This window comes from Homo sapiens, chromosome 12 (genome assembly GCF_000001405.40).
Source record: "Homo sapiens chromosome 12, GRCh38.p14 Primary Assembly".
Lineage (NCBI taxonomy): Eukaryota > Metazoa > Chordata > Mammalia > Primates > Hominidae > Homo > Homo sapiens.
In genome coordinates this window covers 15,793,388-15,804,949 of record NC_000012.12, presented here as the reverse complement: position 1 = coordinate 15,804,949, position 11,562 = coordinate 15,793,388, and the positions used below count along the sequence as shown (strand labels likewise).

At 38.2% G+C, this 11,562-nt stretch overlaps 1 pseudogene; it reads right to left on the bottom strand.

Moving 5' to 3' along the window:
• On the bottom strand, positions 592 to 1,799 carry MRPS7P2 (mitochondrial ribosomal protein S7 pseudogene 2; annotated as a pseudogene).

The window sequence follows — 11,562 nt, the reverse complement described above, 5'->3', positions numbered from 1 at the left end:
AGTAAGGGAAGTTTTCCACACTTTTGGTGCCAGGAAGGAGGAAGCATGTGCTGGATATGGAAGTCTGATTTTCTTACTCTCTGCTCAAAGTTGTTTCACTTTTCTGTGGTCTCGGGAACTATCTCCTCCTCATATTTGAGTTCTGTATATTGCTAGTGATAATCTCAGCACTATATATTTGTTTTTGTTTTTCTGTGGGGTTGTTGAGGGGAAGGGGCTAAGGCCATTTTGGAGCCTGATTTTTCTCTTTATAGAAGACTAGCCTTTGAGATTTCTCTACTTCCTACCTTCCATTCCATCAATCTATCCTACACACTTTCTTTTTTCCCCCTCCAGACAGTTTTAGTGAATGGTAGTACTGTACCACAAGGTATACCAGTTCAGTGTGAGAATTTTCTAATAAATCTTTTCTAATACCTAAAACCGCTTCCTTTTATATCATCCAAATGTCCAAAATCTTTTCTAATACCTAAAACCGCTTCCTTTTATATCATCCAAAGGTCCATCCCAAGCTGAGCGAAGAGAAGCCTGGGTCCTAAGTTTCTTGGACGACGTTTCCAAGACAATGTGCTCTCTCTTTACAAGGAGAGGGGGACAGAGGGAGAGCAAATTTTAGCCTCAAAGAAAGAAGGATTACCAGGCAATAAATATGCTGCTCCATCCTTCTCATGAGGCCTGCCGGCCCTTAAAAAGGAACTACATCCTTAACCCACAGCTATTTTTTGAAGTGGCAGTGGCTCACAGTATTTCTTGCAGTGGAGGGCCCTGAGCTCCTTCTGGAATCTCTACCGCCAGCAGTAGTGGGCCAGGGCATGGTTGGCCTTGACCATCTTGTGCATGTCATGCTTCCTCTTGATCACGGGGCCCTGGTTGCAAAAAGCCTCCAGCAGCCCATGCGACAGCTTCTCTGGCTGGCATCAGCATCCCCTGGTGCCACTTAGTGATCATCCACTTTATGGCCAGGAAGTGGTGATATTGGTAGGGTGAGGATCCAGGGATCCAGGAGAAATGGCCTCCCTTGAGGATGGGTATCAGCCCAATCACAGGCTCATAGTTTTTCACTGCCTAGTTGAAGACGGTGTAGGGCAGGAGTTCCCAACCCCCAGGCCATGGACCCGTGGTAAGGTTCATGGCCTGTTAGAAACCAGGCCACACAGCAGGAGGTGAGTGGCGAGCAAGCAAGGTGAGAAAGCCAGCATTACCGTCTGAGCTTCACCTCCTGTCAGATCAGCAGCAACTTTAGATTCTCATAGAAGCACGAACCCTATTGTAAACTGCACATTCGGGGATCTAGGTTGCATACTCCTTATGAGAATCCAGTGCCTGATGAAATCATCAATCCCTTCCACCCCTCTCCCATCAACCCCCTCTCCCCTGTCGGTGGGAACCAGTTTCTGGTGCCAAAACGGTTGGGGACCTCTGGTATAGGGGTTGTGTTCAATGGTTGCCTGTTCCCCTGCAGAAGCATCATGGTACTTCTCATAGCTTCCAGAACCTGAGTCATGAAGGATCTGGCTAGTACTTTGTTTTCTCCCTTCATCATCATGTTGGTGAATTTACTGATTGTGGGGTCTTCAAACACAGAGCTCGTTGTCATTGTTGGAGCAGCTTTGATGAGCTGAGTCTCCTTGAGTTCCTGATCATTCTTCTCCTCCTCAGTTACTTCAGCCACTGGCTTGCCATAATGTTCCTTGTCAATCAAGGGATCTCTGAATTCAGGACCCTAGCAGCTCCACCTCACCTGAGTTAGCCCTAGAAGCTGCAAGACAGTCTGCCGCAAATCCAGCACAGGCCTGCCCCCTTACACGCTTTCTTTTTCTTTTTTTGAGACCAAGTCTCACTCTGTCACCCAGGCTGGAATGCAGTGATGCGATCTTGGCTCACTGCAAGCTCCGCCTCCTGGCTTCCTGCCATTCTCCTGCCTCAGCCTCCCGAGTAGCTGGGACTACAGGCACCTGCCACCACGCCTGGCTAATTTCTTGTATTTTTAGTAGAGACAGGGTTTCACCATGTTAGCCAGGATGATCTTGATCTCCTGACCTCATGATCCTCCTGCCTCGGCCTCCCAAAGTGCTGGGATTACAGGTGTGAGCCACCATGCCCAGCCCCCTTACACACTTTCTAAAGCACAACTCTGTTTATTAATTCAACCATTTATTCACTCATTCACTCATTTATTTAATAACATGGAATATAAACACACTGTGTGCCAGGAACAGATTATTTTATTTCCCTCTTTAAGTTCCTTTAACAGTGCCTTGACTCCTTGTTATTTGTGTCTATGTACATTCTGTGTTCCTGCCTCCACCTCCTGCCCATTCCCTTGATAAACTGCTACATGTTCTTCATAACTCAGCTCAAATTTCTCCTTATTCATTCATTAAACTCTGCCCAGCACTGGGGATATATAGCAATAAACAAAACTGACAGATATCCCTGCTCTCACAGAATTTACATGAGGGAAACAGACAATAAATAATTGAACGAGATCTTCAGATTGTGATAGGTGCTGTGATAAAAAAGCAATGTAATGCAATAGGGAGAGAGAGAGTGAGTGAGTGTGTGTGTGTGTGTGTGTGTGTATGGGTTTAGGCAGGGTAGGAGTATAGTTTAAATAGGGTGGTTCGTCAGAGAAATCTTTTCTGATGAGGTAGCACTTGAGCTGAGAACTGAATGAAGTGAGTGAGCCATGTAGCAATCTGGAAGAAGAGTGCTCTAGGGCAAGGGAAGAGCAAGTGCTAAGGCGCTGTGGCGAATGCATGTCAGAGCGCTGGAGGAGCAGCATGGAAGTTGGAAGCCATTCAGTGAAAGGAAGCACAGCAAGTCTCTGTGATGTCACTGCTGGTTTTGCACAGCAGCGTCAGGCACTCATTTCCCTGTGCTCAGGTAGCACCTGGTATTAAATTGTACTGGTATGACATGGTATATGGTTGTCATTATTTGTTTATGCTTGTCTAATTGCTAACAACACTGCATGCCCTGAAGGGTGGGGACCATTTTGTACTTTTTTTTTTTTTGTATCCCCAGGGCCCATCCCTGTGCTTGGCAGGTACTTGGACCTTTGCTAAATGGGTGAGTCAGAGGCCCTCAAGATGCTTTCTTATGCTTGAGTCACCTGATTGGGTTTCTTTGTTCTTACTTCTCCTGGTACTCTTCTGGAGTAGGGCTTTCATTACCTCTCTCTCTTAACACTTGATACTGATGTTCGACCAGCTTTGGCTACTTCCCTCAGGGAACCTTGAGTCTTGGACATTCCTGTGTTGATTTCTATTTGTGACCCTCTACTCCTCCTCAGATTTTTTTTTCTTTCTTTTTTTTTTTTTTTTTTTGAGACGGAGTCTCCCACTGTCTCCCAGGCTGGAGTGCAGTGGCACGATCTCGGCTCACTGCAAGCTCCGCCTCCCGGGTTCACGACGTTCTCCTGCCTCAGCCTCCCGAGTAGCTGGGACTACAGGCGCCCACCACCACGCCCAGCTAATTTTTTGTATTTTTTTAGTAGAGACGGGGTTTCACCGTGTTAGCCAGGATGGTCTCCATCTCCTGACCTCGTGATCCGCCCGCCTCGGCCTCCCAAAGTGCTGGGGTTACAGGCATGAGCCACTGCGCCCGGCCTCCTCAGATTTCTTATGTGTTGCAGGGATAAGTATGGCCTGTGTGGGCATTGCCGCTGAAGGGCTCTACATGTTGGAGCTGTGGAAAGGCTCACACTGACAGCAGTAATAAAGGAAGATAAATGCAGAAGGCAGGGGCAGAATATGGAAGGACTTGCAAGTTGAGCGATAATAAAAATATTGGCAATTGACTGTTATTGTTTACAAAAGTCATGCTGAGATTCTACTTTTAATATTTTACAAATACTTCACTATTTATCGTCATAATCTTTTTTGTGCTAGAGTGAATAAGTTTTAAACTTTAGCTTATTTTTCGATGACCAAAATGTCATATATATATATTATAATAATATGGTTTTATAAGATGTCAGATCCTGAAAATAGATGACATCTATAAAATGAGACAATGTATCTCTCTCTTTTTTTCTCAGAGTGGGGAGTGTTGGGTTTTTTTTAAAGATAAGTATCTCAAAAATTGCAAATACAGGTGCGAATCACTAGCAAACAAAAAAGCCTCTAAATGGTTGAAATAGCTTTTATCATGAATATGAGCAAAGTTTATATACCTTATTATAAAACAACTTTTGGCCTTCTGATGTAAAACCTACTTACTCTAATTTCATACATAATTATAATGTTAGTATCTATTTCATTAAGTCACAGCAGATTAAAAGTGATAAATTAACAGGACAGGAAAGGTGGTAGAGGAAATCACAGCAACAAAACAGACGGGAGGATGCCAGATTGCATAGAGGCAGGAAGACTTAGAGAAGCAGACCTCGAGTCCTCAAAATGATAGCCATGACCTCTACATCCAAGACAAAACAACTCAGGCACCCTTTTAGTCACTGTTACATAAGTGCGCAGTGACTTATCTGCAGTATCAAAACAAAAGATTCATTTTTTTTTTAAGTTTGTTTGGTTGGGTTGTTTGTTTTCAAATTCCATTTGGTAGCAAAGCCTGACTTGTCTTGTACTTGTTTGGCAGCAAATCTTATCTGAACTGATGTGAGGCAACTTAGGAAGTTCATTCTAATTTGTGGGAATATGTTTTGCTGCAGAAATAATGTGTTAATTACAGACCTTATTTGGGGTGGGACGAATATATGGTATAAGTACCATGTTCCCTTTACAAAATTAAAAACATCTGGTTGCAAGGGTTTTGATTAAAGGGTCGTGTACCTCTGTAGTACAGTCATGAATGCCCAGAATGATGAGTGTGGTTAATAAGATCAGAAATGCATCCTTTGGCCAGGTGCAGTGGCTCACGCCTGTAATCCTAGCACTTTGGGAGGCCGAGGTGAGCAGATCTCTTGAGGTCAGGAGTTCGAGACCAGCCTGGCCACTATGGCAAAAACCCGTCTCTGCTAAAAATACAAAAATTAGCCGTGTGTGGTGGCACATGCTTGAAATCCCAGTTACTTGGGAGGCTGCGGCAGGAGAATCGCTTGAGCCCAGGAAGCGGAGGTTGTAGTGAGCCAAGATTGTGCCACTGCACTCCAGCCTGGGTGGCAGTGTGAGACTCTGTCTCAAAGAAAGAAAGAAAGAGAGAGAGAGAAAGAGAGAAAGAAGGAAAGAAAGAAAGAAAGAAAGAAAGAAAGAAAGAAAGAAAGAAAGAGAGAGAGAGAGAGAAAGAAAGAAAGAAAGAAAAGAAAGAAAGGGAAGGAGGGAAGGAAGGAAGAAAGGAAGGAAGGATGAAGGAAGGAAAGAAGAGAGGAAGGAAAGAAATGCATCCTTCATACAATAAAGTGAAGAAAATACTTTGAAAGCTTTGCATTTAAAAAGTGTTCATTAAAGTGGTACGAAACTTAATGTTTTTGGAAAGCCAACAAGTGTTTATAGCACACTTTAGAGATTCTCTCTTTCTTTCTCTGTGTGTGTGTTGGGGGTTGTGGATGTGTTTCTGAGTCCTTTAAGATGAAGTTACATTTAAAATCTGTGGGATATATTTGCTCTTGCCTTGCCCAAACTGGGATTTCTTAGCAACCAATGAATTTTTGATTAAAAAAACCAAAGCAAAAACGAAACTGGGATTTCTGTGCTGTGATCAGGAAAATGATCTTTAAGGTTGTTGGAATTACCTTGAGCACAAGTGATCTCGGTGAGATAGGTATTGATAAATGTGCATTTGCATTTTAAAACTTTCCAAATTCGTAATAGGAGTTTTCTTTCGTTTTATTTTCCCTGCTGAGGATTCTGCTGTTAAGGAAGAAGAAAGTTTGGGTGCCAACTAAAGGAAACAGTGTCTGTGTTTGCAATGCCAATGAGCTTACCCAGGGGGAATTGTTAAATAGCCTAAGGATTATTCTAGCTCAGCAATCCTAAAGATACAAAAATGCAACTTTGGACATTAGGGATGGGAGTTTTAAAAATCTGCCCGAGTTCTAGCAGGAGTAAAGAATTGAGAAACATGAAAAATCCACAATGAATAATAAAATATTACTAAGTTAAATTTTCTCTGCCACAAAATAATACTTTTTTGTAGTATTAAAAATGGCTTAAAATTCAATTATAGAAATAAATTAACTGAAATAGTGAAAGTGACTCCTATTACACTGTCACCCCTCTCCCATAAAATACTGGTAGAATGTTGGCTTATATTTATTTGTTATTCTTTTTTATATAAGTTAATTCATACTACATAATGTATTGCAACATGCTGTCTCCCCCCACCTTAATAAATATATATCTTGCTGTCTATCCTAGCTAGTAGTTAATGTCACCACCTCATTCTTTTCAATTGTATAGTAGAATTCCACTTTAAAGCTCTACTATAATTTTAAACAGATAGTTTTTTGAAGATTCCCCCCCCCCACAGTTATTTTATTTTCTTCCCTTTTCATTCTCATCTGCTTTTCTTTTTCTTTCTTTTTTTTTTTTTTTTTGCTTAGGCACAAGTAGGAAAATAAAAAGCCTAGATCTGATTAGAAAAAGCTGTAAATAGTGAGATAAGTGCTGCTCATAAATGGCAAATTTCCAGTTCTGCAGAACAAACAGCACCATTCTCTCAAAAAGATAAAACAAATGTCTCTTTTGCATTTTAAGGAACATTCAGCTGTTACTAGTAAATGGATCAATAACTCTCAAATTCAAAAATTAAATTTCTGTTAGTTATACAGAACATTAAAATTGCTGGAGGAAATCAACCTTTTCATAAAAACCATAAAAACAAACTTTCACATTTAAAATTGGAAACAGAATACCTGTGCTCTTGTTCAGAAAGGAGTTTTTTTTTTTGTTTTAAATCTACAGAGCTCATCAGTCATTCAAAGGTCAGAGATAATAGGGAATGAGACATTCTGATGACCTGAGTCCAGGTAAATAAGAGAATATGACTGGAGCACTTTCACCACAAATTAGAGCAACAATTCCATTGTCCTTCTTCCGTCATTCTGTCTCATCTCTTTTAGCCTTTCCCTAGCCATGGCTGTCTCCCTGCATTAAGGTCCTCCCTACCGTATGCAATTCCACAATTTTTCTCCCAGGAGGGACAAGAATAGTAATTAAGATGAGCACCGATGATTCACCTTACAATACTATTGCAACTTATCTGTGTTAGCTTCCTCATTTCATTCCTTTCCTGCCTTTCAGAGGTAACTACTATTCTGAATTTTGTGATAAACATTCCTTTGTTTACAAACAAATTTTTAACAAATGTCTGCTGCTCCTAAATAATAAATCATTTAGTTATGCTTTTCTGAGCTCTCTAAAAAGGATATCTTATCATGCATAATCTTCTATGACTTTTTTCACTCAACTCTAAGTTTCTAAGAGTAATCTATACTGCGGAACATAGTGGTTGCTTCCTCATGTTCACCGCTATAGAATATTTTGTTAACAGAATATACTAGAATTTATTTCTCTTTCTTGCAGTTTTACATATTTATAAATTTTATTATTATGATTTCTTCTTCTATTCATACATTATTGGGAAGTCTGTTTTTTTTTTTTTTTTTTTTTTTTTTTTTTAGATGGAGTCTCGCTCTATCACCCAGGCTGGAGTGCAGTGGTGGGATTTCAGCTCATTGCAACCTCCTCCTCCTGGGTTCAAGTGATTCTCCTGCCTCAGCCCCCGAGTAGCTGGGATTACAGGCATGTGCCACCACACCCGGGTAATTTTTTTTGTATTTTTAGTAGAGACGGGGTTTCACCATGTTGGTCAGGCTGGTCTTGAACTCTTGACCTCGTGATCTGCCCGCCGTGGCCTCCCAAAGTTCTGGGATTACAGGCATGAGCCAGCATGCCGGGCGGGGAGTCTGTTTTTAAATCCCATTTAAATTAATCTTTAGAAATTAAAAAGTACAATTAATTAAAATTTCATTTTAAACTTAAATGTTTTAAAAATTAGTCGGCTATTGATTTCTAACTGTACTGCCTTACAAACAGATGAGTCAAGATCAGAGGTCAGTGAATCACCACCCTATGGGCCACACTTGGCCTGTCACCTGTTTTTCTACAGCTGGCAAACTAAGAATGGTTGGTACATTTTAAATGGTCAAACAACACAAAAGAAGGATAATATTTTGAGGTCTGTAAAGATTACATAAAATTCAAATTTAGTGGGTCTTACATTAATTGGAACATAGTTAAGGTCATTTGCTTATGTATTGTCTATGGCTGCTATTGAGTTACACAGTGGCAGAGTTGTGTAGTTGCAATAGAGACCACTGACCTCCAAAACCTTAGCTTTTGTTATCAGGTCCTTTACATAAAAAGATTTTTAACCCCTTTTCTAGATGATGCAAATTCTCAGAAATGTATTAAGGTATGCTGGTTAATTTTTACAAATATTTCTTATGGGTTTGTTGAGTATGTGTATTCTCTAATTGCTATATGCCACATATGTATTATATATATGATATATACATATATCGATAGATATAGGTCTCTATATAAGTAATCTATATATATATTGAGAGATAGAGATAGATATAGAGAGATATCAATAACTTAACAGTGGTTGAATGGGTGTTGAAATAGCTACACTATGATAATGAGTTTTTCAATTTCCTCTTGTAGATTTTATCATTATGTGATGACCTTTTCTAGCCACAATAATGCTTTTTTATCTTGAAGCTCATTGCGTGTGATGTCAACATAGCTATACCAGCTTTAATTATTATATAATTGATATATCTTAAGCTTTCCACGTTCTTATGTTTGTAAATAACATATAGCTATATCTTTAAAAACTGCCTTGACTCTGTCTTTTAACTAGAAAGTTTAGTCCATTTATATTGTGATTATTTACATGCTTGAATGTTTTTCTCCTCAGTCTTTACCTTCTATCTATGTGTCTCCTTTCCTTCTACATTTCTTTTTTCTTGCTTTTTTGTGGCTTACAGAGGAAGATTGATTGTTAATATTTGTTTACCTCTTATTCTTTCTCCCTTCCTCTACTGGTTTGGAATTTCTACATCACATTTCCGTTCTTTTAGAGTCTTTAAGATATTGTAGAGCATAATGGTCAAAACCACGTTCTCTGCTTGAATTCAAATCCTAGCTTCATCACATACTAACTCTATGATTTATTATCTTTGTGTGTGTGTGTGTTTACCTGTAAAATTGAGGTTGTGAAGTACCATATGGATCATTTCTGTTAAAATCTTATTGTGAATATTTTTCTTAAGGACACTTAAAATTAATATATTAAACTCCTCAGAACAATACAAAAACCTTAGAATGATTTAACTCTAATTATCCTCCTTCTGATTTGTAAGTTATTCTCTAGCATTTAAACTGTGTCTTTTAAGCCTCACAATTTCATATTATTTATTAATATTATTTTGTACAGACCAGGCCTCTTTATATTAACCCAAATGTTAATCAGCTTCTTTGTTCACCATTTTTTCTTGTATTCCAGTATTTCCTACTGGGTCACTTTCCTTCATCTGAAAGTGTACTTCAGAAGTTCATCTAGTGAAGGCAGTGAAAAGAATAGTTTTTAATCTAAAAATGTCTTAATTACATTTTTGTTCTCAAAATATAATGTTTCTGGACACTAAATTATAGGTTGACAGCTATTTTCATTCAACATTTTGAAGATATTCCACTCTCTTCTGGCTGCCATATTGCTGTTGAAAATTATTCAGTCTACTTGTTTTTCTTTTGTAAATAATATTCCCCCCTTCGATGCTTTTAAGATTGCCTTTCCCCTGGTGTTTTGAAATTTCACTGTAGTTTATATTGGTTTGCTTTTTTTCATGCATCTTATGTGATACATGTATATGTACTGCCTCTATTTCATTTTCTTTTCAGGTATCCTACTTGATACATGTATATAGCCAGGACTTCCTCTTTTTGTAGATTCATGTCCTATGTTAATCTGGGAACAGTGTTAGCTATTGTGTCTTCTCTTGTCTTTACTCCATTCTTTGTGGTCTCTCATTCTGGGATTCTAATTAGAGATGAGTAATATCTTAACATTCTCTATATTCCATATCTCTTAATGTTTATTATTTTCTGTCTTTTTTCACCTTCTGTGGTGCATTCTGCATAATTTCTTCATATGTAGCTTACATTATTCTTTTCAACTATGTTTAATCTACTCTTTAACTCATTTATGGGGTTTTATATTTTAGCAGTTATATTTTTCTTTTCCAAAAGTTCTAGTGGGTTCTTTTCACGTATGCCTAGTCATCTTAGATATTTATTTATGATTTTAATTTTTATTTCTTTATACAGCCAGATAATAGCTAATTAGTTTTTTTGCCTCATAAATCGAATTATATTTGTTTATTCTGCTAACACTCATGTCAGCAGAATTTTCTTATATGGCTTGAGATCTTTGATTATGAATTCCTATTTGGTTGATGTTTATTTGTGGGAAATTCTGGGACACTAACTTGAGGTTATTTTTCTCCAAAGAGGATTTCTGTCTATCTCTCTTGGGAACTTGTGGGCCCAAGGACCTGAAACCGTACTGACTTCCTTCCAGCAGAGTCAGCTAACATGGGATTTAAAAGATTAGCTTCTTCACCTTGTAGCCGGTTTAAGTCTTATTTAAAAGATTACTGCCTACCCCACCTGCTTCAGCAATTTTGTTTTGTTTTGTTTTCATTTTGGACCCTGAGAGATTCCCTTTACTGTCTCAGAGTCCTACAATGCATATCAAAGTATATTTTATGCGGGATCCAGGTGATGTGTAGCTGGAGAACTTTTCAAATAATCTAATTTACCTTTCTGTGTGAAGCTTAAAAAAAATACATGCCAACTCTCTACATGCATATAAGTATAGTGTATAAGATGGGGAGTTCTTTGCCTGAAGGAGCTCCCAATGTCCTCTACATTTTGTTTGGTTTCCTCTTTTTTCTTAGAGTTTCATTACCTTTTCCATGTGTTTCATTTGGTCTCTTTCCCCTTTTTCCTTCTTTCAAAGGTCTCTCTTGATTTACCCTCTTACCTCAGCTACACTATTGGATTCAACTACATTATTATTTCAAATTATAATTATTAGTTGAGTCCAAAAGTATTTGTTGAATGAATGACCATTTCACACTCATTAAATTCTTCAAAAGACTCAAGTTCTTTTCAGATGCTTTTTACTCAAGTAACACTGGTTGGATTTTCTTCCCTTTGTGGAAAACTAATTCTTGATTATTAAAAAAGATGGAAAAGCAAAAGATTTCATCCATGGGTAAGCAAAGTTGTATATTCATTTATTTATTTTTAACTAATATAGTTTATTTTTGGTGAAAATAGAGGTTATATTTGGAAAAAATTTCCATGTTAAGAATACTTCCTATCATGCTTCAAAATTTCCATACATTTCTAATTACATATTACAAAAGAAATTAGGGCATTTTGACATTTGAAGGCTAAAGCAAATTGAGTTTGTTAATCCAAATGGGTGTAAAGAAACATAACTAACAAGAAATATAAACATCAGTTACAAAGTAAGAAGCAAGCCCAAGCACCTCCTAAAGTGAGAACAAATATAATAATCCAAGCA